This window comes from Homo sapiens, chromosome 5 (assembly GCF_000001405.40).
Source record: "Homo sapiens chromosome 5, GRCh38.p14 Primary Assembly".
Taxonomy (NCBI): domain Eukaryota; kingdom Metazoa; phylum Chordata; class Mammalia; order Primates; family Hominidae; genus Homo; species Homo sapiens.
Genome location: NC_000005.10, coordinates 159,310,822 through 159,338,142, shown reverse-complemented (window position 1 = coordinate 159,338,142; position 27,321 = coordinate 159,310,822). Strand labels below are relative to the sequence as shown.

Below are 27,321 nucleotides of genomic sequence, written 5' to 3'. Positions count from 1 at the left end.
ACTGCATCTACCACCCTCTGCCCTTATCATGGGCCAAGGGTGGAAGGACGATATTGAAAACATGTGATCACAGTCATCTTTGAAGGGGAAGAAATTAATGAGGACATTGTAGGCCCTTTGAAAGTGAAGCTGATTCTAACCACCCAGCGGGTTCTCCTTGAACCACTGCTCAGACAGAGCTGAATTATCCAGACAGGGGAGTTGCAACAGAGAAAAAGTTTAATTCATGCAGAGCTGGCTGTACAGGAGGCTGGAGTTTTATTATCACTCAAATCAGTCTCACTGAAGGCTCAGAGGTTAGTGGTTTTTCAAAGATAGCTTGGTGAGTAGGGAGCCAGGGAGTAAGGAATGCTGGTTGGTTGGGTTGGAGATGAAATCATAGGGAGTGGAAACTGTCTTCTTGTGTTGAGTCAGTTCCTGGGTGGGGCCCATCCGGTTGTCAGAAATGCAAAAACCTGAAAAGACATCTCCAAAGGCCAGTCTTAGATTCTAAAATAGTGATGTTATCTGCTGGAGTAATTGGGGAAGTTGCAAATCTTTATTCCTCCTAAGTAATGGCTGGCTAGGCATACTTCCTAACAGAATTCAGGCCCCTCTCATCCTCCTAACTTGGTGGCCTTTCATTAGTTTTACAAGGGCAATTTAGTATCTGGGAAGGGCCATTATAATTTAACTAAATTTCTCCCAAAGTTAGCTTGGCCCACACCCAGGAATGAGCAAAGATACCCAGAAGCAAGATGGGGACAGTTAGGGCAGATCCCTTTCACTGTCATAATTTTCTCACTGTTATAATTTTTGCAAAGGCAATTTCCACTCTAGGAATCTTTTGCAAAGCATTAAAACAAAACAAAACATGCATTAGAAAGGCCACTGAAAAACTGAATGAGCTAACTCAAGCAGTTTTCTGCCTCCAGGAAATACCACACCTAAAACAGATGCTTCCTCATCACCATCCATAAAAGTACAACATTTCAGCAGTGACCTGGTGAAATGCATCCATCCCAGGAGAAGGTTCTCAGCTATGAGCACATGTAATTATATTTGAAATATGGACTATGGTCTAACTAGGTCTGTCAGATTATAAAACACACATTCTTGATGCACTATATATTCTGCCTTTTGTGTGTGCTTCACTTATCTCTTCTTCGGTAACTTTTTTCTTTTTTTCTGATTAGAAAAGTAATACAAGGTCATTGTAGACATTCTGGAAAATTTAAGAGATCATTAAAAAGAAAACAAAAATAATTCGCCCTCATACCACTCATATATACACTGTTAAATTTTGTGCTCTAGAACCTTCTGTTACCACTAGGGAATGTATCTAAGTCACGTGGCACCAAAATCACGTGGCACCAAAGTATGTTAGTGGTGGTGAACTAACCTCAGTTCTTGCCTCCTCATGAAACATGAGGTTTTCCTTGACCCCTTCAGAGTCCTCCTGACAGGAATGCCTCACTTACTCAGTCCACAGCTCTCAACCCCTCATGGGCGGGGGGGCAGCACACAGGTGAGCAGGTGCAAGAGCCAGAGCAAATGCTTTTGGGCACCGGCAGGACCAAAACTCTGTGCAGGCCCCACAGCAGCATCTAGGGTGGAGTACCCATGACCCCTGCAGCCCCACAGGACATATGTTACAGTGCACTTTTTTAGCTTTGCTATCCATGGTTGGATTAAGTGTTTAACAACTCAGTGAACCCTCTGCCTTTTTGCAAGGGCAGAGGGTCAGTGTGACAGCCTTTAGCATCCTCACCCATGGCACCTGAGATCTCGTTTGGTGTCCAGGAAAAATCAGGTTGCATGAACGAATTGAAGGGCGGTGAATGTGGAGGATTTTATTGCCAGTGGAAGTGGCTCTCCACAGGAAGGGGAGGTGGAAAGGGGAGGGACCGGGAAGGTATTCTTCCCCTGAAGTCCTGCTGTCAAGTCATCCCTCTGAAGTCAAACTGCTTCTCTCCAGCATTCAGCTGCTTCTTCTCTCCTCCCCTTCTCTGCTCTCTGCCAGTGGAGCCTGGGGTTTTTATGGGTGCAGAATGTGGGGGCAGGGTGGGCCATGGGTGGTTTGGGAAACGGCAACATTGGAGTGGGAAAACAGGACTACATGTTCTCACTTTGGGCCACAGCACCAGGCTTGAGGGTGGGTCTTTGCCAAAAACCCCCACTCTTTTCTGCCTAGAATTTCTCTGTCTCCTGTCCCTATTACTCAGAAGAAAGAATTTGACCAAAGGGCTTAAGACAGAGTGAGAGACCCAGGCAAGTTTTAGAGCAGGAGGGAAAGTTTATTTAAAAAGTTTTAGAGCAGGAGGCCAGACACAGTGGCTCATGCCTGTAATCCCAGCACTTTGGGAGGCCGAGGCGGGTGAATCACTTGAGGTCAGGAGTTCGAGAACATCCTGGCCAACCTGGTGAGACCCCATCTCTACTAAAAATACAAAAATTAGCCGGGCGTGGTAGCTGTAATCTCAGCTACTCAGGAGGCTGAGGCACGAGAATGGCTTGAACCCAGGAGGTGGAGGTTGCAGTGAGCCGAGATTGCGCCACTGCACTCCAGCCTGGGAGACAGAGCACGATTCCATCTCAAAAAAAAAGTTAAAAAAAAAGAGAAAGTTTTAGAGCAGGAACAAAAGGAAGTACACTTGGAAGAGGGAGGGTGACTTGAGAGATTCAAGTGTATGGTTTAACCTTTGATTTGGGGTTGCATATGCTGGCATGCTTCTGGGGGGTTGCCTCCCTTCTCCCCTGATTCTTCTCTTGGGGTGGCCTGCCAGCACTTGGGAGGGGCCACATACACAGTATGTTTACTGAAATTGTACGCATGTTCACTTGAGGCATTCTTCCCTTACTAGTTGAGTGTTCTTAGAAGAAGCTCATACACCAGTTAAATTCGACCATTTTCCCTCCTAGTGCTCATGCTTAAGCCCATTCGCCCAGCTCCTAAGATCTTATCCGGAAGCTGCTAATCACCAGCTTCAGGTGTTCTATCTATTGGGAGACTGCCTTTCCCTGGTACCAGCTGTGACCAATTATTATTTTAGAGAAACAGTTTAATAACCATCTGACCCTCACCTGATGGTTGCCTGACATTCCTAGTGGTGGTGGGCGGGGAGTGGCGGGGGAACCCTCTTCTGCCCTGCTCATGTCTGACTAGCTATCTGCCGTGACACTTCCACTCTTCTTTTGGTAAGAGCATGTATGTATGAGGCAGGAGGTAGAAGCTACTTCCCATACTCCTAGGCTAGAAGTATCCCTTCAAAAGCAACTGACCATTTGGGGGAAGAAGCCTTAGTTTTCATTATCCACACAATTGCCCTATTTCTGCACTTCACTGGCCGCACAAATCACTTGGACTCATGTAACAGACACATGTGACTGTATCCATAATAGGTTCATTGCCCATTGCACACAGCAAGTCAATACGCCGAGAGGCCAGGTTGCAGCAGAGAAAGAGGTTTAATCGTAGGGTCACCAAATGAGGAGACAGGAAGAAACCTTAAATCTATCTCCTTGTGGCATTTGGGGCTAGGGTTTTTAAGAGTTTGGGAGTGGGCTGATGTGTTGGAGATGGTTGACTGGTTGAAGAGTGCATGGTGAAGTCATGGGACAGGGTGAAGCTGTATTTTCAACCTGATCCCCTTTCTTTGTGGGGGTTTTCAAACTGAAATATGGTAGAATTGGGGACCTGAAAAACAACTTAAGTGATTCTTAAACAAAAGCGTTCTGATTGTAATGTCAGAGATCCCATCTAAAGGAACAATAGGGATACAAATCAATTCCTACACAATCTTATGACCCTAATGTCAGAAATCCTATCTACAGGAATAATGCAGATGCAAATGGTCAGGATCTAGTGCTACGTGACTTTGAGCAACAAGGAAGTGGGCCAACGTGCAACCTAATCAATGCTTAATTATAACTATATTCCTGTCCAGAACCCAGCATGCAATTCTTGTCAACCCTGTGAGGGTGGTTTCATGACTCTCAATGGCCTACCACTTTCCATCTAGTAGGGCAAACCTGCCTTGTCTATCACTTTCCTTGTAATAAGCCCATTCTCCTTGTCAGGGAGTGGTATACAGGTGATAAGTGAGACTTCATGAAAAGGCTATGGAGCTTGTAGGGCAAATTATTTGCTCCTAAGAGACATCAACAGGACAAGATAGTCTTTTCTTATCCCAGGTGTTATCAGTCCTTAGTGGATTGATGCCTGGAACTGCAGAGCTCCTTAGAAAACTAAGCCCAGGGCAACCTAATTGATGCAGACGTGAAATCTGTTCAAGTGACCTCTAGCAAGTCACTGCAAGTGACTGAATACAAAATAGACTGTTGCAAGAAAAGAGCAACTTGCAGAACAATATGTATAGTATGATTCCATTTATATAGCCAGATAGATATAAATACATAGAGAAGCATTCAGAAGCTCTGCAGGAATGCTGGCACTGGTAACCTCTGGAAGCCACAGGAATCAGGGCCTCAACATTGTATTCTATGTATATTTGTATTGTTTGAAGTTTTTACAATAGCATGCATGCATGTATTGCTTATGTAATTTTCTAAGATTTTAATTTTTATAAGTACACATGGCTTCTCCTTTATTTGAAATGTGTACTAGATGATCAAAGCATTCTTCTAGGAGAAAATAAGTTTTTGTGGCCAAAAAAATTCTTTAAGTTATTTTTGGTTTTTAGGGGGTTGCCTCCATGTCACAGCTTAATCATCAGACACATTAACCTTGCAGCTCAGCACGCCCTCTGTTTGTCAGCAGACCTTCCTCGCCCATAGGGTAAGCAATAGAAAGCTTATAGGTATCAGTTTATTTTGCCTGGGATCAGGGTCTGGATTGTGAAGTGGGACATGTTGATAAACCTCTTCTCCAAAATTAGGTCAATGGGCATTTGGCTCATATTACCAGAATGCTGGCTGGCCATGTACAGCCTGTCTCCGAGAGAGGCTCTAATGTGGCCCCCACATTAGAACAACCTGCCAATGACCACATTAGAACCTCCATTGTTAAAATGCAGGTTCCTGAGCCCCATCCCAGATCTGAATCACAATCTCCAAGCATCAGCCCCAAGAACCTGAATTTTGTTGTTACATGCAGATAAAGTACGAGAACCACTTCCTCCATGGGTGAACTGAACTTACCAAAATAGTCAGTCCCGAGGGGCAGAGATGGCGTAGGTGCCAGTTCTTCTTTCTCATCCTAGATGCTCAGAGTCAAATTCTTGGCTCAGCAATAGACAAGTGATTTCACTGTGGGAAGACAATTCAGAGCCCTGTTCCAGGCTCCTCACATTGATTCTCTCTGTCTTCTTCCACTCCTCTTTGTCATCTTTGATGTCCCCTTGTGAGCTACGAAAAGACTTTCTGGGACACGACAGGATAAAAAAATAAATAAGTGCAAGCAGCCATTCATTAAACGTTTAGCCAGGATGCTGCTTTAACTGCATCCCATCATATCTCATTAATCTTCACACCAGTCCTGAGATCAGGTACTATTATTAACCCGATTTTACAGATGTGAGGAACTGAGGCTTAACGAAGGTAAGTAACTTGCAGGTGCGGGTATCCAGCTCTCTAACTCCAGAGCCCATGCTCTTAAAACCCTATTACTTGTCCCTGGTGGAGGTGAACACTGGGGGCCCTTTCATATAGGACTAGCCCTCGGGCTGCAATCTGAGCGGAAAAGGGAGGATGAGGGCATACTTCGAAGCTTCTTTTGCATAACTGGCGCTGGATTTTTACTGAGACTTTACGTTACAGTTTTTTTTTTTTAATTTTCAAGGTGCTTTTACGAACACATGAATAAAATATTTGTGTCATTTTGAACCTTACTTGTCTTATTTTATGCATGTATTTATTTATGGGGGGGCACAAGGACTCATCTGTGGTGGTGCAGCCACTGTAAATAAATTAGTGAAACTACTTCACGTCAATTTCTGTTCAGTACACTTTAGTGATGGATCGGAGGAAATTAATACATGTTTACAAAAAGCCCCTCCCCCAGTTGTTACATATGCCTCAGAGATACCAGTTGTGAAAAGTGCAGGTGCACTTACACACATACGCACACACACCCCACAAATGGTATCATACGAAAAAACATACCTGCAATCTGCTTTGTCCACTTAATTGTATATCTTGGATACAGAACTTGTTTCACTGGAAGGCTAAAAGGCAAAGTCTGGGGAGGCCTAGAGGACACAGGGGATGGGAGGAGGCGCTCTGAGCTGGATGTAAGGTCTCCACCCACGGCCAGAGCACAAGGTCGGATAACCAGTGGGCCTGCCGGCTTGGCTGCCTGGGCCCTCCCCTGCCGAGACAAACGGCTGGAGGGAGGAAGTGTGCGGCTGGGAAGCTCCGCTGCTCTGGCCCGGGTTTCCCATTTCCCCCTTCCCGCGCTGAGACGGCGAGGAAAGTTAGCCCGGAAATCTGCGCCCGCCTAAAACCCGGCCTGGTCCCAGCCACCGCCCCAGGAACTTCCCCCACCGCAGGGGCGGAGGTCGAGAGCAGGGATGGAGAAGTGGACCTGCGCGGGTGGACTCCGGGGCGCGGGTGGACTCCGGGGCGCGGGGGGACTCCGAGGAGCGGGTGGACTGTGGGGCGCGGGTACCGTCTCGCAGCGACCTCTGTCGGCGGCTCTGGGGATGGCCCGCATCTGTCTGCGTGTACCTGGTATACGTGCAGGTACATGTTCCTGTTCACGTGCAGACTGGGCGGGGGATGGGGGGGTCCACACCGGTGTACACCTTTGCATACCTCTTAGCAACTTGAAATTCCACCACGAGAGATATCTTTATTCCGCTATTCCTGTGCATCTGCACGGAGCCCCTAGGGCCATAGATTTGTGTGCAAATGAAATGAGGATGTAGTCTGGGTGCCCAAGGGGGGGTGCCTTGAGTGTGGTTGTCTGTATGCCTCCCTGAGGGTATTTCACTTTCTGCTCCCATCCGCCCCTATGAGCGAGTACCTATGAGCACAGGATGTGCACATATTTGAGTCTTATTAGTGGTACACGCAGTTTTATCATCTCCCCAGGTCTGTGTCTGTATGAAATGTGCATGGGTGTGTGTGTGCACGCGTGTGTTCCCACTCGGGGAATGTGGGGAGAGGTGCATGGAGCCAAGATGGGTGGTAAATAGTATGTTTCTGAAATTAAAGGACTAATGTGGAGGAAGGCGCCCCAGATGTACTAAACCCTTTGCCCTTCATCTCATCCTCTCTGACTTGGGAAGAACCAGGATTTTGTTTTTAAGCCCTTGGGCATACAGTTGTTCCATCCCGACATGAACTCAGCCTCCCGTCTGACCGCCCCTTGGCCTTCCTTCTTCCTCGATCTGTGGAACCCAGGGAATCTGCCTAGTGCTGTCTCCAAGCACCTTGGCCATGATGTAAACCCAGAGAAATTAGCATCTCCATCTCCTTCCTTATTCCCCACCCAAAAGTCATTTCCTCTTAGTTCATTACCTGGGATTTTGATGTCTATGTTCCCTCCTCGTTATTGATACACACACAGAGAGAGACAAACAAAAAAGGAACTTCTTGAAATTCCCCCAGAAGGTTTTGAGAGTTGTTTTCAATGTTGCAACAAGTCAGTTTCTAGTTTAAGTTTCCATCAGAAAGGAGTAGAGTATATAAGTTCCAGTACCAGCAACAGCAGCAGAAGAAACAACATCTGTTTCAGGGCCATTGGACTCTCCGTCCTGCCCAGAGCAAGGTAAGCACTTCCCAAGCCCCTACCTCCCTCCCCTCCCTGTGGGCCTGCAGCTGTCCAGGTGTAGAAACCGTTAGTGTGCTACCCCAGCAGCTGGCAGGAGGGAGTTGGTGGATTCCTGGAAGCATCCCTGGTGAGTCATCTGCTGGAACATTAGTGAAAACTTAGTACTCTAGGGACCGATGTACAGTGTCCATTTTAAAAGCCACCTAATAATAACTGTATAGCAAGATCTGTGTGTATGCATAGTTTGTGGAAATGTTTGTTTTATCTTATTTTGAAGTGGTGTGTATTGATGTATAAAAGTATATTCCTAAATGTTAATGCCCATCAGTTAAAGGATTGTATAGAGCTAAAGTGAGTGGTGCCTGCCTTACTATTGAAATTTTTAAAAAGCCTTTCGTGCATTCCTTAAAGTAATTGGATTCATAATTATAATAATGTTACAAATCAGACTTGCTCCCATATTTGTGATGGTCTTGGTCGTCAGTTGTGATATCAACCAAAATGACAGCTGGGATCCCCATTCTTGTGGATTAACTAACTTTGGCCCCAGTTAAAAAATGAAAAGCTATTATTGCTTCCTAAAGAGTTTTTAAATCTGTGAGAAGGGGGAAAAAAAGGTTTTTTTACTTGCCCAGGTAAAATTGTGTGCAACAACAATGTCATTTTAACAAAGGGATTACTAAACCCCAGGTGATGACCCACTTTTTCAAACAAGGAATTGCAAGATACTAGATGGAATGTGGGTAACCTCTTAGAGTTTAGTTTACTGGAATCTGAAATTGTATGATTTCCGTACATTCCTTCATGCTACTAATAAGTCATGGAATCCCTCTGTGCTGGACTCTGGGGGTAAAGTGCAAAACAAGATAGACATGATCCATGGCATAAGAGAGTTCACTCAGTGTGGCAGAGAAGACAAACAGTAAAGAAGAGACTGTATTGTTGCCATTGTAGTAAATGCTGTGGAAGGAGGGGAGCAAATAGTGGGTCCTGACTTCATCTAGGCACCATGACACTTCACGTGAATTATGTCACTAACTCCTTACCACAGTAGCATGCCCATTTTATAGATCAGGAGTGTGGGGCTTAAAGGGGCCAAGTGACTCACCCAGAGTCACACAGTTCTAGAAGTCTGCCTGGCCCTCAAACTAGGGATCTTTGCATGTGCCACCCATGCCATCTGTGACTATATCTTTTTATTCTTTAATAATAACTCCCTTTTCTAATTAAAGGTAACAAACAAAACTTAAAAAAGAGATGCCCACCCAAGCGTCATTGGCATGCTGATGTTGGCACCAGTGTTGGGAAGCCCTTAGCATACTCCAGGAAGTAGGAGTGTGTAACGTGGGGTCCCTTTGTCCTTCATGCAAGGGTTTCAAGAGTTTAGAAAACCTATGAAATTGCACACACAAAAATGTGTTTTAATCATCAAGACTCTCAGACTTACCATGCTGAGAAATGTGGGCTGAGGGATAGCGCTCCCTAGTATCAGCTGATGGGCCAGAGAGCCAAAGGAGGAGACCCACCACCATCACCTCTCCTGGACAGTGCTCTGTGGTTTCAAATGTAGGTGATACTAAAATGGGAGTTGCTTCTTAGAACCATGGCCGGGGTTCCCTTGACCCTGAAGTGCAGTTCACCTGAGATTGTCAAATGCATCTGAGGCATGCAGAGGAAGTGCTGGGCACACAGCTAGTGGGAATACCTCAGCGTAAGTGGCCAGGAGATGCCAGGAATCTCCACTATTTCCCTTCCAGTGTGCCAGCCTCTGGGTTTTACAGGCGCATGTAATTGCAGTACCTCTGTGCACATTTCCCTACTGCCTAGAATGACTTTCTTGACTATCCATGATATATAAAACACAGATACCGAATTGTTCCCTTACCTCTTCCTCTAGGTTCAAGTTAATATGTTATTGGTTGCCTTCTATAATATGTTATCTCATTGCCTTTCCCAACAAGCCTTTGAGATAAGTATTAGGTCCATTTTATAGACAAAGAGACTGAGGCTCAGCGAGTAACTTGGCCAACAAGTTGCTCCCACTGCTCAACAGCAAATGAGCGGTGGGACCAAAATTCAAGCCTGTGTCTGTTTAACTTCAAGCCTGTGAATGTACTAACCGGTGCCCTGTGCCAGCTAGTACTTTGCTACAGTCATAACCTAGACTGAAGTGATAGCCATGCCCCTAAAACTCCATGCTGTGGTGACAGCACTGAGCAGTGTCCAAGAAGGCTTGACTTCTAGGCCTGTCTCTGCCACTCACAAACTTTATAAGGGAATAAAGTACATAGCAAGGTCCGCCTAGAGTTAGTAGCAGTTCTGACAAAGCTGTAATTTGTCAATATTCCGTCACCCAACCCAGGAATGCTCATTTTTAAGGTATTTGACTGAAACAGTTGAGCATTGCCCTTCATATAGTTTAAAACAGTGGTTTCAGAACCACTTTCCTCCAGACCATGGGTGCTCTGCAAGGTGAATGGAGTTGTTTCAGAATGTTTCAATAATCATCCCTACCTCATTCGTAAGTGGCATGTAATTTTTGCAATCGGAAGATTTTCATAAACCCTGGATACTAACCTAGACTGGTTTCTATATCAGATGGTGGCTTATTTAACATAAAATTATGCATTTTACTATTTCATGGTGGATATATCAATATGTTGTGGTCTTTTCCCAATGAACACTTTGATTTTCAGGGGTTCTGGACCCTGAACATGGGTTAAACCAGTGGTTCTCAAGGTGTGGTCTTAGCGCCAGCAGCATCTGCTTCCCCTGGAAACTTTCTAGAAATGCATATTCTCAGGCCCTCATGCCTGCTGAATCAGACACTCTGGGGGTGGGACTCAGCCGTCTGTTGTAGCAGTGCTTCCAGGTTATCCTGACAGTCACTCAAATTTTAGAACCACTAGGTTCTCTATATGGGAGAGAGTAGTCTTTGAACTTGGAAAACAAGAGAAGCTAAACCCCTACAGCAAGGGCTGGTGACCAGGTCGTTGCCAGAACCTGAAAGTTCGCCTCTGTATTACCGTTCCTGTCCCTAACCCAAGTCCTTCAGTTCTGGGTGCTCCAGCACACACTGCTTTGTGCTGCAGTGATACAAATGTATGGCTCATCTCCCCAGCTGGCGGGGAGGCATTTAACACACTGACTTAATAAATATTTATTGAGTAAAAGTATTTGCTCCTAGGAAGCGGGATCCAGGTAAGCCCTTTTTTTCTCTCTCAACTGCTTCTAGCCCAGTGCTCTTTATGTAGTAAGCACTAAATAAACAACTGCTAGATGTTGATCCAGAAAGTCACATTCCTTCTCTAAGCTTTAAGTTTCTCATCTTAAAAATAAGAGGATTGTATCAGATGGCTTGCCTTAGGTCTCTTTCAGCTCCAGAGCCCCAAATACCCTATGGTTCTCTATTTAGAGATGTTCTTCCCCACAGACTGCCATAGAACTCCTGTAATTTACTTAGTATTTGCTTGACAGTATGGAGAAGAAAGGGGAGAATCAAGATTTTATTTAAAAAAAAAGTAGCTAGAATGTGTATATGGTTCACAAAGGTAACAAGAATTATTGACATTCTTTCTTCTCTTTTTTCTTCCTCTTCCTTCTCTTTTCCTCCTTCTCTTCCCCCTGCTTCTCTCCCTTCTTATAGATGTGTCACCAGCAGTTGGTCATCTCTTGGTTTTCCCTGGTTTTTCTGGCATCTCCCCTCGTGGCCATATGGGAACTGAAGAAAGATGGTAACCAGCCTCTCATTATTCTCTGTGGAGGCCCCACTTCTAAGCCAGGACTCTTGGGCAGCCACTGGTGGGAAATCAAACTGAAATGGGCAACCATGCACTGGGTCCTCTAGAGAAAGCCATCACTCTGGGAAAATGCAATGCCATATCTCTCTTTTCTACTTTGATGGTATCTATATTGTTTGGTTTTCACATTGGATGACATTGGTACACTATGGTGGGGAAAGACATATGATATATGATATGGTGGGGAAAGACATATGACATATGATATTTTCCAATATTACTAAAAACTGTTTCACACAATTAAAATTCCAAAGTAGAGGATTTGCAAAGTATAACAACTGTGTTCGTTTCTCATTCCACCACATGATACTGCCCCCTCAGTTGGCACTGTGATGACTTACCTCTGACCAAGCACTTTGGAGGAAGCATAGGATTCAGACTCACATTGACTTGGGTTCAAGTCCTAGGTCTGTCAATGACTGGTTATGTGACTTTAAGCTGGGTCACCTCTAATCCTGAATTTCCTCAACTGTAAACTGGATGTTACAAAGTGGATGCCTACCACGTGGGTTATTTAGTGGGTTAATGAATGCAGAATACAACTCGACAGATAGTAAAGTGAAAGTAAATGTCAGCTAGTATTACTATTTTGGTTGTTTAAAATATCTTTCATGATTCAAGAGATACTTTTTATTATCCCAATGATCAGTAAAAATTATTAGTAGACTAATAGAATAGTTAATGGTAAAATAAGGAGTTCTGCCCATCCTTCTAGTATCTCACACTCAGTAAATGTGCATTCTGACCGTTGGCTGTACCTGAAAGACCCTCAGATTTTTATCACTGAAGCCAACATCATAATGTTGGCGATTACTATCTTTAATTGTATAATAATAATAGTTAATGTTTATTGAGTGCACTGTCTCACTTAATTCTCACAAGAGCCATATGAAGTAGAGACTGTCTGTATCCCATTTTACAGATGTTGGAAACTGAGGCCAGAGAGATTAAGTAACTTGCCCAATGTCACATACCTGGTAAGGGTGGAACAGGGACTTGATCCCAATTCTGTCTTGCTTCAAAGCTGGTGCACTTAAATTTGTGAAAACGTTTTTACAAGGACATGAAGTAATTTTTTCCCAGGTCTTTGGAGAGCTGAATAAGAGGAAATGGACATAAATTAAGGATGAAAATATTTCAGCTGATGATCAGAAATAATCTTTTGATATTCTAGAAAGTACCATCTTGAAATGGGTACCTGAAAGAAATCTGGGACCACTCCTCTCTTCTCAAGAATTTTAGGAAGACAGAATCCAGCCACCCCTTCTCCATGAGAATTTGAGAGATTTAGACACTCTCTTAAGTAAAGGCAAAGGCCTGAGCCAGGGGTATATGGCAGATCCCTTCCAACCCTGGGATTGTTAGCGAGCTCAGGAACCTTGGTCCTGGCATATTTGACCCCTTAGTGACTTCTGATTTGGTAAACCACAGAAATTCCAGAAAATCAGTGTGAGAAACTCTCCGAGGTGTGACTTAGGAGGGCAGACGATGCAGTGAGGCTAAGTGCCAGGTTCTTGATGCTCCTCTTCAGCTTTCCTCCTGCAGCTGTTTTCCCTGCTGTTGAGCAAACATCTTCTAGGGCTTCCGAGCCTCAGTTGGGACAGGAAAGTAACCATGCTCTTCAGGTGTCAGGGGGACAAAAAAAAAACCAAGAAAAAGCCAAAAGTGCCACATGGTTTTACATCAGCACAGCTAATCATTTCCCCAGAGTTGGACCCCAAATGCTTTTGACCTCTTATTTTTGTTATCCATTCAGTCCTTATAATCCAATTGATGTAAAGTGAAAACTTTATATTCTACAATGCTTTACATCCAGAGGCCAATAACGAGAACCACCATTTATAAAGCATGTAAGGGCACTGTGTATGAGCTTATATAATCCACATATCCACCTTCTAAAGCAAGGGCTAATATTTTTCTCATTTTAAAGATGATGACACTGAGGCTTACAGTAGTTGAATGTCTTGCCAAAGGCCACAAGACTGGAGCAAGGGCTAGAGCTGCTTCTAAATCCAGGCCTCTGCCACTCCAAAATGCAGGCTCTCAACCACTGTGACTCATAAACTTGAGCAGGCATCAGCACCATCTGGAGAGCTTAAGAACCATATAACTAAATCCATCCCAAGGTTTCTGATTCAGCAGCTGAGAATTTGCATTTCTGATCTATTCCAAGGTGATGCTGCTGATGGTGTTTCATCGATCATGCTTTGGGAACTACTACATTAAACAATTCTATTCAATTAATAATTTATGCATGGATTAAAAAAATGAATGAAGCTTTGCTATGACACACTCTGAAATACTATACTAAGCCATTCCTCAAAGGCCAGTTTAGACACTAGCATTAGGCATCCCTTGCAAAGCCCAAGAGACAAAAGGTCTGAGCTGTAGCCCTTGTACTTCTGACTTGCTGTGACCATGCTTAGATCGTTGGCCTCAGTACGCTTCTTCATTAAATGGGAAGACTAAGCTCTACTGGACTGCTTCATAAGAGTGTAAGATAGCTAAAAATAATAATAATAATAATAATAATGCAGAGAGAATGAAAATCTCCACTGGTGATTTAAAACAGAGGGAACGAAATCCTTAAATATCCATGGAAAATTGTTAAGAGAGTTTCTCTGTACAGTTGGCTGACTCCTCAGTCTATAAGTAACGATAACTAACACCGAATTTACTGTGTGGCAGACACTGTGCTAAGTACTTTACGTGCTTTTTTTTTTTTTCATTTAATCCTCAGTCAAATGTAAGGCAGATACTGTTATTATTATCATTTTACAGATGAGGAAACTGAGGCTCATGATAATGAAATACCTTGTTCCAAATCCCCCAGCTGGTTAGTGGAGACAGGATGACAGTCTTGGTTCGTTGTTCTCGACACCCTGAGCTTTTAACCACTATGTTACTCTGCTGAATATTGTGCCCTGCCGTATTCTCTATGAAACTGAAATTGTGCTGGAAGTTTCTCTCCCCCAGACCTTTGGCAAAGAGTCTTGTGCTGTTTGCAGTTTTTGGTATATTAAGGTGTTTCCAATCTGCTAAATAATCAAAGGTTACTATTAAAGGCAGCCTTCCAGTCAATGAGTCGATGGCAGCTATAAAACTCTTTGTTTCTCTTTTCCATGACCTTGAGCCCAAGCAGGGTCTCATGCCTTGAGATCATCTCAGCAAGCATTTGCCAAATACTTGTTGTAAACAAGGTTGTGTTTAGGCAATGGGGATGCCCGAAGGGTTAATAAAACACAGTCCCAGAGTTCCTGGAGCTTACAGCCTGGTTCTCCACTTTATGTGCATTCCAGTTTATGTCGTAGAATTGGATTGGTATCCGGATGCCCCTGGAGAAATGGTGGTCCTCACCTGTGACACCCCTGAAGAAGATGGTATCACCTGGACCTTGGACCAGAGCAGTGAGGTCTTAGGCTCTGGCAAAACCCTGACCATCCAAGTCAAAGAGTTTGGAGATGCTGGCCAGTACACCTGTCACAAAGGAGGCGAGGTTCTAAGCCATTCGCTCCTGCTGCTTCACAAAAAGGAAGATGGAATTTGGTCCACTGATATTTTAAAGGACCAGAAAGGTAATTCTATACCCTTGGATAGTATCAATTTTCTCTTTCGCTCATAAGAGTTAAAAACAACAACAACAACAAATTGAAAAGCCAAGTCATGGTGAGTGTAATGAATTAACATCAAGTCTCTTATTGATGTTAATTGATGTTAACCTCCATTTTCCTTTGCTTTCCTGGACCCTTTGGGTTATCAACCATCAAAATCTCATATTAAGGGAGTTTCATGATCAGTCTGAATGCTTAGCCTCATGTTTTCTTTAAATAATGGTGATATTATTTAATGGCTAATGGAAATTAACCGATAGTGTATCACTCTGCACTGGGGTGATAGCCTTCAAAAAATGAATGCCTCTGCCAGGCATGTTAGGTGTGTAGTGTACTCTGCAGAATCAACACCCCACTGGGATACTCCCAATCCTTATGGAGCTACCCAAGAGGCAACGCATGGAAGAACTTCACCCTGTACCATCTGGTGATCTGTGATTCATCACAATCAAAACCTTTCTGCAAAAAACTCCTAAATATTGAATTTTTGTTTTTTTCAAATCCAGAACCCAAAAATAAGACCTTTCTAAGATGCGAGGCCAAGAATTATTCTGGACGTTTCACCTGCTGGTGGCTGACGACAATCAGTACTGATTTGACATTCAGTGTCAAAAGCAGCAGAGGGTGAGTGAAACTGCTCTGGTTTCTCAGCATTTTTCTAGAACTATTTCATTAAGAAATTAAGGGCAACCTCTCAGTGACCTATCAGTTAATGATAATGGGAAAAGCAAAGTCAAACCCGTGTTTTTTCAACCGCCCTTCCTTGTCTACATTGAAGAAAGAACATGGAGATTTTAGCCGATTGCTTGAATAAATGTATGTGTTGGGGCAGGATATTATTGGGAACTGAGAATAGTCTCTGCTGTGTTTGAACCCACTCATCCAAATTGCCTGGCCATGCTTCCTGAAGCCTCATAGCACCAAAGAAAGGGATAAACGGAGAATTCAAAGCTACAAATGACTTGCTGAAATTGCACCTTGAGTCAAAAATAAAAACAAGAGCTCCAGGGCGTAGATCTTAGGGGCCCTGAAGCAGACTCCAAAACTCGATGAGGCCTCCCGAAATTTTCCCAGGGCCACCTCAACTCCTTTTACTTCTGCTGACACCACTAATCTGAAGTTCGCTGTTGGTCCAATGCACCTGGACTTTCCGTAAGAAAGCAACTTCCATAAATACAAGACCTATGTGTTAACCCCCATGTGGCTTACTTTAATCATCACCGAAGCAAACCCCAGGTGATCATCCTGACTTTACCATTATTTCACTGAGTAAATTAAGCATTGGGGTCTCACTTTTTCATCTTTAAAAGGAAAATGCTTACTAAAGAAATGTTTCTCCAAGTGCATAAAGACATAATCAGCAGAGGAATGGTTAAATAAAACATGGTACACTATACTCTTGCTTAATGTGCAGTCATTGAAGTGGATAACCCAACCCATATGTTTTGTCATGGAGAGCTCCCCATAATATGTTCAGAGGGGAAAAGGATGGTTACATAATCATATGTATACAATTTGATCCTAGTTCATAAAAATAAAATCTATATGTATAAGTAAAATATATATAGTGGATATATATAATGTAGAGATGTATATAACATGGATTATATATATAATGTGTGTATACATATGTGTGTGTGTGTGTGTGTGTATATATATATATATATATAAAATGTGTATACAATTATCTTGAATATTCATTGAAAAAGTTCTGGCCAGGCACAGTGGCTCACACCTGAAATCCTAACTCTTTGGGAGGCTGAGACAGAATGATTGCTTGAGGCCAGGAGTTCAAGACCAGCCTAGGCAACACAGTGAGACCCCATCTCAGAAAATATTAAAAATAAAAAAATTAGGTGGGTGTGGTGGCACACACCTGTAGTCCCAGCTACTTGGGAGGCAGAGGGAGGGGATCACTTGAGCCTAGGAGTTTGAGGCTACAGTGGGGTCTGATTCCACCACTTCACTCCAGCCTGGGTGGCAGAGCAAAACCCTGTCTCTTAAAAAAAAAAAGAGAGAGAGAGAGAGAAAGAAAAAGAAAAAGGAAGGTCTGGAAGGATACAACAAGCTATTATTAGTACTTAAACCTGTGGAGAGCAGTTAAGGATGAAGGAGACATACACTTCTTTCCTTTATATGGATCTTTATCATCTTTACTTTTATAATTAGTGTGTACTGATTTGTGTATTGATTTTATAATTAAAATGGGAAAAAATGAATTTAAGTTTTTAACAAGGGGGTTTAATAATCAGAGATTCTAGATCTAAAACAAACAAAAACTTCCATATTCATTTAGTCCAGAGACATGTAAGTGCTCTTGAATTTAAGCTTTTTCTCCTGGGGAGGGCAGTTTCTTACCCTCTGGGTAGAAATCAGCCCAGTTGGAGAAACTGTGTCCTCAGACAACAGTTGAGGCCTTACCTGCCTTACTGGCTACAATCACTAGGAACTCTCTCCCCAATGTGTAACACAGGCTAATTTCTGTCTTTGACTTCAGCTCTTCTGACCCCCAAGGGGTGACGTGCGGAGCTGCTACACTCTCTGCAGAGAGAGTCAGAGGGGACAACAAGGAGTATGAGTACTCAGTGGAGTGCCAGGAGGACAGTGCCTGCCCAGCTGCTGAGGAGAGTCTGCCCATTGAGGTCATGGTGGATGCCGTTCACAAGCTCAAGTATGAAAACTACACCAGCAGCTTCTTCATCAGGGACATCAGTGAGTTTTGGATGATTATATGTGCTCCATAAGGAAAGATACTATTTGTCACGTGTTCACAATGCCCCATGCACTGTGGGGTAGGTGGTTGACAAGCATCATCTCTTTTATTCTGCATCCAAAAACAAAATACGATGTAGATACTGTTATCTGCATTTTAAGGAAGAGGAAATTGAGTCTTAGAAAAGTTAAGCAACTTGCCCCAGATCTCAGATCTTACAGCTAGCCGTTCAAATCCAGATCCACTCCACTACAGCTGCTCTTTACTGCACTTTGATTCAGCTGCCAGATAGTTTCCATGATGAATCCCAGAGCCTAATCAAGCATAATATTCATATTCAGAACCAGGGCTTCCTTACTAATGGCAATTATTCCCAACCAATCCTTCCTTAGCATTTGAAAAGGGACTTCTTTCTTAGAATATAAACCCTTCCAAAATGGACATCTTTTTTTTTAATTGGCAGATAGGGATTTCACCATAAGTCATTTCCTTTACTATTTATTCATTGACCAGGCAGCATGATAAAGTGTAATAGAACCAGAGAACTTGCTTCAAAACTTATGGAGGGTTTGTACTTGGTGGGTGGGGTCTAGTTCACATAGGGTGGCCAAGGAAGGCCTCTCTGAGGAGGTGACATTTAGCTGACACCAAAAGGAAAGATGTCAGTTGTGTTAAGAGCAGAGGGAAGCATATGTGCGAAGCACCTGCTAGGAGCCGTGATCTTTGTGTGGAGCAGTGCCAGGCCTACAGAGCCCAACCACACACCCTAGCATGTCTCTGCCTCCTCTTATCTAGAAGACCTAATTGAGGAAGGAGTCTTTGTGAAACTCACTGCTGTATCCTTCATGCACAGTCCAGTGGCTGGAACATAATGGGCGCTCAGTATTCATGGAATAAACAAGCAAATTGAGCATAGAGACAATTGACTGTAACTGCTCCAAGACATGTCCGCACCAAAAGCTATGAAAAGACAAAAGAAAGGGCAGTAAATAGAAAATCTATCATCTCATCCCCAGGGAGAGGCTCAGCTTAGTTCCATGTTCAGTGCAAAGTGAGGGATTAGCACAGACAGGGTGGTCCTTCAATGCATGGCCCATAACCATTAAAGCAGAGGTCTTCTCACTGTGCGGTCCCATCTGATTGTTCAGTGATGAGGATTCTGAGCATCTCTCAGATCCTGCAATACATGTGGATCTGAGATGTGGCCATTGATAATGACTGCCTTCCCGAGGCACCAGCGTGAGCACCTGCGGCAGAGGTGCCTCACATTTGCCAGCCAGGTGCTCACAGAAGTTAAGTAACTATCCAGTGGACTCACAGCTGATCAAAGGTGCAAGTGAGATCATAAGCCAAAACCACTGAACTCCAAAGCCTTATTAGGAAAATAAAGCATGTTTATCCTCTTCCACAGTCAAACCTGACCCACCCAAGAACTTGCAGCTGAAGCCATTAAAGAATTCTCGGCAGGTGGAGGTCAGCTGGGAGTACCCTGACACCTGGAGTACTCCACATTCCTACTTCTCCCTGACATTCTGCGTTCAGGTCCAGGGCAAGAGCAAGAGAGAAAAGGTAAGAAGTGATTCAGGTGCAGTATATTCCTTGGTCAGTTTTACGGAGGCCCACCATAAAGTGAGAAGATGAATGATGATAATAACAATGACATCCATGTATCACTTAACAACAGGGATACATTCTGAGAAATTCATCTTTAGGCAGCTATATCATTGTGCAAACATATATGGTGTACCCACACAAACCTAGATGGTATAGCCTACTACGCTTCTAGGCTTTATGGTATAGCCTATTGCTCCTAGGCTGCAAACCTGTACAGCATGTTCCTGTACTGAATACTGTAGGCAATTACAACACAATGGTTTGTATATCTAAACAGAAAAGATATAGCAAAAATACAATATTATAACAATATAGGACCACTGGTCATATATGTGATCCTTCTTTGACTGAAATGTTATTATGTGATGCATAATTACTTTTCTTAGCACTTTTCTATGTGTCTAGAGCTGTGCCAAGGGTTTTCCATGTTTATTTCACTTAATCTACAAAATTAACGCAACAAAGGTAGCTGATGTTATTCTTGTTTTTTTACCCCCTTTTTTGTGGAAAAGAGGCTTTCCTTTTTTCCAGAAACTGTGGCAAGGTAAAGTAAAGCTGTAGCTGATGCAGGAATTTTGTGTAGGTGTTAGCAGCACTGCCCTCACTACGTGCTCATTGGACAGTAGCCCAACCCCAAGAAAAGGATGGTTGGTAGCCAGTAGTATTATCATCATTTCACAAGTGATTGAAGACTCAGAGAGGTTAAGTGACTTTACCAAGGTCACCCAGCTAGGAAATGACATAACCAAGACATAAACTCAATCTGCCAGACAGAAAGGCCATGCACCTAACCACTCCACTACCTCTGATGTTGGTCATTGATCTTGGCACTCAGAATTAGTCCTGATAGAGGAGACCTGGGCTCCAGAAGCCTAAAATTGTTGTTTCAACTGAGTGCATGTAATGAATGATAGAACAGGCAAGAGATATCGCCCCCAAAATGGATAGCTCCTGGCTGTTCCAGATATTATAAAATTATTTTACTAAACAGAATGTCTACACTTATAGAGGCTAAGATATTGGCTTCCCAGCTTCCTCACCTTACAGCAGAATTCCTTTGCCTGTTGCAAGGTTCCAGAGGCCCTTTTGTACCGCCCCAGACTCCTTTCACCCCACTTTTAAAATCACTGGACAAAGCCCTAATTCAGCATAGCATTTAGCATGTGGTAGAAATTCAGTGAGCTAGTTACTCTCTGGGAAAATAATTAGGTAGGGAGGCTATCCTGGAATAGATATTTACCTAAATATTATTTTACATCTTGGCAAGTACTTTCCCTATTTAAGATCTGTATGACTAATAGGTGATATTGAGTGCTTCCTATGTGCTAAAGACTTGCTAAGAGTTTGACGTGATTTTTACCTTGAACTATAATTCTATGAAGTAGGCATTATTGTTATCCCTATTTATAAGTGAGGAAACAGACACAGAGAACCTAAGACATTTTCCTGAAGTTACACAGCTATTAAGTAGCAGTGCCAGAATTTGAAGGCAAGTTTTCTGATGAAATGATCAGGATATGGTATTTCTCAATATCTCAGGGATGGCTAGAGCAAATCTGTCTCTCTCTCACCATCAGCTCAGGACTGGGTGAGTGGCCATGGGGTCTTGAGGCAAGGCAATTGTGCTAGAAAGATGAAAGCTGGGCCAAACGATTTCTCCCTCAAGGGCTTACAAAGTACAAAAGCTGCACCTACATGTGGAGTGTCTGCCAGTAGGTGGTGCAAGTTCTATGCACACCCCTGTGAATTGCAAGCACAGTGCCCTAAGACCAAGATGGGCTTGTTTTGGGAGAGTATGCATTGCAGAAACAGGCTCAGCTTACCCTGTGACTATGTTGCCAAGGGGTCTTCACAGCTTTCCTTCTCTTTTGCAGAAAGATAGAGTCTTCACGGACAAGACCTCAGCCACGGTCATCTGCCGCAAAAATGCCAGCATTAGCGTGCGGGCCCAGGACCGCTACTATAGCTCATCTTGGAGCGAATGGGCATCTGTGCCCTGCAGTTAGGTGAGCAGGCCCTCAAAGGCCAGCCCAGGCCTGCACTCTCAGTGCACCTGGATGCAGGGATATGATTGGGGGCTGTGTTGGAGAGGAAAGGGGGATGGAGTGGCCAGCACCCAGTTGCCAGAATCAGAAACATACATTTATTCACTAACAGATATTTATTTGGTGCCTTTGTTATGTAGGACACTGTGCTGGCCACAGGGATATTGCAGGAAAGAAAACAGACCGGGGTTCTGGCCTCCTAAAGAGAAAGGCAAAGAAAAGAGAGAGGTAGCCAGGAGGCAGAGCATGGAGGACTTGCAAGCTTGCAGGACTCAGAATCTTGTTCTGGGGGCCCCGGGCCCTGAAACCCACTGAAGGGTTTTCAGCAAGGAAGTAACACAATCAGATATTATTTTAAGAAAACCCTCAAGAAAGCCTCTGGCAAGCATGGTGCCAGCCAAATTCCAGGCCACATAAGGAAGGCCTGGGCCTTCTGGCATGAAATCCCTGAAACCCAGTTGCCCAGGATCATATGTTGTGAGAAATAAGAAGAGACATTGCTGTTACAATGTCACCCCACATCAACTTTTGGCATTCTCTTCCAGGTTCTGATCCAGGATGAAAATTTGGAGGAAAAGTGGAAGATATTAAGCAAAATGTTTAAAGACACAACGGAATAGACCCAAAAAGATAATTTCTATCTGATTTGCTTTAAAACGTTTTTTTAGGATCACAATGATATCTTTGCTGTATTTGTATAGTTAGATGCTAAATGCTCATTGAAACAATCAGCTAATTTATGTATAGATTTTCCAGCTCTCAAGTTGCCATGGGCCTTCATGCTATTTAAATATTTAAGTAATTTATGTATTTATTAGTATATTACTGTTATTTAACGTTTGTCTGCCAGGATGTATGGAATGTTTCATACTCTTATGACCTGATCCATCAGGATCAGTCCCTATTATGCAAAATGTGAATTTAATTTTATTTGTACTGACAACTTTTCAAGCAAGGCTGCAAGTACATCAGTTTTATGACAATCAGGAAGAATGCAGTGTTCTGATACCAGTGCCATCATACACTTGTGATGGATGGGAACGCAAGAGATACTTACATGGAAACCTGACAATGCAAACCTGTTGAGAAGATCCAGGAGAACAAGATGCTAGTTCCCATGTCTGTGAAGACTTCCTGGAGATGGTGTTGATAAAGCAATTTAGGGCCACTTACACTTCTAAGCAAGTTTAATCTTTGGATGCCTGAATTTTAAAAGGGCTAGAAAAAAATGATTGACCAGCCTGGGAAACATAACAAGACCCCGTCTCTACAAAAAAAATTTAAAATTAGCCAGGCGTGGTGGCTCATGCTTGTGGTCCCAGCTGTTCAGGAGGATGAGGCAGGAGGATCTCTTGAGCCCAGGAGGTCAAGGCTATGGTGAGCCGTGATTGTGCCACTGCATACCAGCCTAGGTGACAGAATGAGACCCTGTCTCAAAAAAAAAAATGATTGAAATTAAAATTCAGCTTTAGCTTCCATGGCAGTCCTCACCCCCACCTCTCTAAAAGACACAGGAGGATGACACAGAAACACCGTAAGTGTCTGGAAGGCAAAAAGATCTTAAGATTCAAGAGAGAGGACAAGTAGTTATGGCTAAGGACATGAAATTGTCAGAATGGCAGGTGGCTTCTTAACAGCCCTGTGAGAAGCAGACAGATGCAAAGAAAATCTGGAATCCCTTTCTCATTAGCATGAATGAACCTGATACACAATTATGACCAGAAAATATGGCTCCATGAAGGTGCTACTTTTAAGTAATGTATGTGCGCTCTGTAAAGTGATTACATTTGTTTCCTGTTTGTTTATTTATTTATTTATTTTTGCATTCTGAGGCTGAACTAATAAAAACTCTTCTTTGTAATCATATTTTGGGCATTCTCAGCTGATTTGAGTACTCTGCTTGCAAGTCTACCAGGGGTGCATTTTTTCCCCTATCATTTAAGCATTGCCCTTTCTTGAAGTGATCCCATTCCAAATTTTGCAGAGTTGCTCTTTCCCCTTATAGTATTTCCAAAGTCAGTGTCTTCCTGAGCTCAGGGGATGTCCCTGTAATCTGACAAGGAAGGATCCTTTGCAAGGGCACTGAACTGCATTGTGCCTTTTTTAGGGGTGGAAGCTCTCACTTATTCCACCCTCTATCCTGGAATCGACTCTACTGGTATCCCAAGAATCATGAAATAAAACTCTAACCTGGTACAGCCATGGACATCTCAGCTCTTAGGTCCAGCTCTAGTATTTATTGAGAGTTTGCCGTATATATGGACATGTGCTAGCCCTCAGGGTTGGGAAGTTTCAAAAAGCCTTGCATTGTGTCTCCCAAACAGTGCCCACTCCTAACACTGCTTATAAGGCAGGATGAAAAGTTAACTTCACTATCATTACACGCTAAAATGTTCAGGATATATGGTAGCCTGGGGTGAGAATGAAAAAGAAGGATCTGTGTAACCCAGCACCATCCAGGAAGACTCATCAGAGAAGAGAGGGTGCCAACTTTGGGCTAAAGAATGGGCAGGGCCTGCAAATTCCCCTTGGTGCTTCCCATGGAAGGAGGAGATGGTGGGATCAGAGGGAATGCAGTCCAATTTCCTGCTATCCCAAAAATCCAAGTGTGCACATTCAGGCTTCCTTGCAATGGCAGGGTAATTATAATAGGGGTGTTTGTTTACATTCCTGATTTTCAGTGTCCCCTGGAGCCCTATGCCACTCTGCTCCTGGCCTGGAGGAATGGTGGGTGGCTTCTGTCATTCTTTGCCAACCTTTGGAGCATATGGTCCCGTGTTATAAGCCCACACTTGACAGCATATGGTTGTTAATAACAAGTGTTTGTCCCCCTACAGGGTCTTTCATCTGCAGTTACCAAAGTACTTAACGGACATTTAATGAACAACACTAACCAGATTTTTAAAAAATAAATAACTAATCACATTTCATAAGCACTGAGAACTGGGACCTTTCCCCAAATTTCTGGCCAGCCTGGGGCAGAGGTGAGATGTTCTGGCTCCCACCATGCCCAGTGCTTTTGCGACATGACCTCTTAGCATTCGATTAATTTCAGTGCATGCAATGCAGAGTTTTTCTTCTTTAAAGATAGTCTCCAGGACTGTCCTTTTTATTGTAAATCTAGCCACTACAAAATGTACTAAATGTCTAAGCCAAAGATCTTAGGACTGGGAATCAGAGGAGCAGACTCCAGTCCCAACTATGGTTACATAACAGACTTGTGACCTTGAGCAGGGTGTTGGAAACAGCCTGCTGGTTTTCCAATCAATACTCATTCCCAACTGTTTTCTCCCCGATGCCCTCTTCAGCTCTAAATGTTGGTAAGTTTAGCGACCACTTTTTCAGCCACCTTTGTTGCCCAGCAAAGCCAAAACACTGAGTTCTGGCCAATGAGATATAAGAAAATTCTGCTGGGAGGGTTGCTGAGAAGCTTTGGCTTTTCTGATGAAAGACAGAGCCATGTCTAGCATCACCCTTTCCTTCCATCCTCCTCTCTTGAGCAGAAAAAAATCTCGAGAAGCTTCAGAGGACACCTTGTGCCCAGTATGAAAGCCATCATGCAAAAACTCAAGCTAGAGACTTCAGGCTAGGCGCTGTGGCTCATGCCTGTAATCCCAGCACTTTGGGAGACTGAGGTGGGCAGATCACCTAAGGTCAGGAGTTCAAGACCAGCCTGGTCAACATGGTGAAACCCCGTCTCTACCAAAAAAGTACAAACATTAGCTGGGCATGGTGGTACACTCCTATAATCCCAGCTACTTGGGAGGCTGAGGCAGGAGAATCACTTGAACTTAGGAGGCAGAGTTTGCAGTAAGCAGAGATCACACAATTGCACTCCAGCCTGGGCAACAGAGTGAGACTTTGTCTCAAAAAAAAAAAAAAGAAAGAAAAAGAAAAAGAAAAGAAAAGAAAAAAGCCAGACTCCAGATCCTCATGGCATCATGGAGCAGCTGAACCAACCACTGTATCTACCTACCCCAGATTTCTTGACATGTGAGAGAGACAGATCCATATTTGTTTCTTTTTTTTATTGTGGTGAAATATTCATAACATAAAATGTAACATTTTAACCATTTTCAGGTGTACAGTTCAGTGGCATTAAATACATTCATATTGTTGTGCAACCATCACTCCACCCATCACCAGAACTATTTAATCAGACCCCCATCTATGAGAGGCTGCTGGCCAAGTCAGAAAAAGGACCCATGCCAGCACAGGAAGAAACCTGGGGTTTGGTGTCAGAAAACCTGGTTCTGCCCCTCACAGCTGGCATGGGCCTGGTGAAGACACGGAGTACTCGATTTCCAGAGACATCAGGTGGGGCTTTGGTGATACCCTGCTTCGCTGACCTCTGTGAGGTGTAAAACAAGTGAGGACATAAACCTGCAGGCCCCCTCCTGAAATCTTCAAGTGTCATACCCTTAGGAGTCCGTCTCCCCACTCCCATGTTCAAGAAGAAAGTGAGAAAACTAAGCACCAAAGGCAGCCATAGAAGCTGCCTCACGAGGTCCCTAACAACCCTGTGCAGGAGGAATTCTCATCCCATTATTACAGATAAGGAAACTATGGCCAAGGTCCCTGTTCCAAGGGCAGCCTGAGCATCAGCAGGACTCACCTGAAGGCGGGGAGAGATTGGGGATCCCACAGGAAAGCACCTCTACTGTCCTTTCATTCAGTATTTTTGGAGTCCCTGGTACCGTCTCTGTCCTTGGCACCATCCTCAACTTTTTGGATACAGGGGTGAGTGAGCCCCTGCCTTCCCATGGTTTCTCATCTCCAGAGGACCAAATGCTTGGAATTCTAAGCACTGGAGGCCACTTCCTAAGGATCAAGGGCACTATTGCATGAAATAAATAATTGGTTTAATGTGATGGTCACCGTGCCTGGCTCACAGGAAGCACTCAGTGAATGGCAGCTATGTCCACTGACTAGCTGTGATCTTGAACAAGTTATTTAACATCTTCGAGCCTCAGTTTTCTCATCCTTCAAATGGAATGATAGTACCTACCTCATAGTGTGGTTGTGAGGATCAAATGAAATAATGTTCAAAAATTGCTTTAAAATGTACCTGATCCAATAAGTAAAAGCTTACTGTAAAGTAAAATGTACCTGATCTAATAACTAAAAGCTTATTGTTATTAGTTTTATTGTGCTATTTAGAACCTGAAAGAAGCATAATTCTGGACCCTGTGCTTCTTGCAAGGTTTAGGGGATGAAGGGGTGGTTTTTACCTGGCCTTGGTGTCTCTGAGAACCGGGTTGGCATGGAGGAATCATTAATCAGCCAGTGGGGATGAGAAAGCTGGTCCAGTCTGTTAGCATATTTAAAAGCCTCTCCGGTGTAAAATCCCTTTCTTGTAAATAAAATCGCCAAAACGTCCCCACATGGGGGTATCAAGATGCCGTGAACCCCGTTCTTGCTTTCAGGGCTTGTACAGCCTGGTGAGAAACAGAAAAGGGAAATGGTGGTGAATATAATAAAATATAACCTGGCTACTAGCTGAGTTAAAGGTATGTGCACCATAAATATTTATTTTTACAAAGGTTTCCATCTCCCGGGAGGAGCCCTTTCATTCCCTTTCACCTTCTCTGGATGTAATGAATTTGGCATAATCCTACCAATTCACCTTACCTATAAATCAGACTTTAATCATCTCCGTTTCATTTCAGTGTAGTCCTTCTTCTAGGGCGGCGTTTGGGAGCAAAATATATCTGGACAAGACTTTCTCCAGAGGGTCATATTATACCAAGGAAATGAATTCCCTGTCTCAAGCTCATAAACCGCAAAAATAAAGCCAGCATTCTGGCTGAAGGCGGAGGAAACC

At 43.5% G+C, this 27,321-nt stretch overlaps 1 protein-coding gene, 2 long non-coding RNA genes and 1 pseudogene across 4 annotated transcripts in view; 1 reads left to right on the top strand and 3 right to left on the bottom strand.

The window, feature by feature from the left end:
• IL12B-AS1 (IL12B antisense RNA 1) overlaps window positions 1–6,625 on the bottom strand; it is a 31,317-nt gene extending 24,692 nt beyond the window's left edge. The window contains exons 1-2 of the long non-coding RNA NR_037889.1: window positions 6,103–6,625; window positions 5,140–5,361 (exon numbers count right to left, since the gene is read on the bottom strand). This is a non-coding gene — a long non-coding RNA (IL12B antisense RNA 1). The remainder of the gene's footprint in view (window positions 1–5,139; window positions 5,362–6,102) is intronic.
• Window positions 7,656–23,363, top strand: IL12B (interleukin 12B). Its single transcript, NM_002187.3, has 8 exons — window positions 7,656–7,711; window positions 11,361–11,448; window positions 14,814–15,089; window positions 15,632–15,749; window positions 17,623–17,837; window positions 19,250–19,407; window positions 21,327–21,458; window positions 22,043–23,363. The coding sequence occupies exons 2-7, from the start codon at window positions 11,361–11,363 to the stop codon at window positions 21,456–21,458; spliced, it is 987 nt and encodes a 328-aa protein (NP_002178.2). The 5' UTR covers window positions 7,656–7,711; the 3' UTR covers window positions 22,043–23,363.
• On the bottom strand, window positions 19,976–20,101 carry RNU4ATAC2P (RNA, U4atac small nuclear 2, pseudogene; annotated as a pseudogene).
• Window positions 22,667–27,321, bottom strand: LOC105377683 (uncharacterized). Of its 2 annotated transcripts, XR_941138.3 has the most exons (3): window positions 27,129–27,321; window positions 26,729–26,935; window positions 22,667–22,925 (listed from the first exon to the last, which is right to left on the bottom strand). It is a non-coding gene; the product is annotated as an uncharacterized LOC105377683 (long non-coding RNA). The 2 variants fall into 2 exon arrangements; XR_007059021.1 differs by lacking the exon at window positions 22,667–22,925 and having other exon boundaries at window positions 25,511–26,935.

What these genes read in the sequence shown, in the direction of transcription:
- IL12B (NM_002187.3), top strand. Translation starts at nt 11,361, where the DNA reads ATGTGTCACCAGCAGTTGGTCATCTCTTGGTTTTCCCTGGTTTTTCTG. An exon ending in ATGGGAACTGAAGAAAGATG is followed by an intron (nt 11,449 to 14,813) that starts GTAACCAGCCTC and finishes TGTGCATTCCAG; the next exon opens with TTTATGTCGTAGAATTGGAT. An exon ending in AGTGTCAAAAGCAGCAGAGG is followed by an intron (nt 15,750 to 17,622) that starts GTGAGTGAAACT and finishes CTTTGACTTCAG; the next exon opens with CTCTTCTGACCCCCAAGGGG.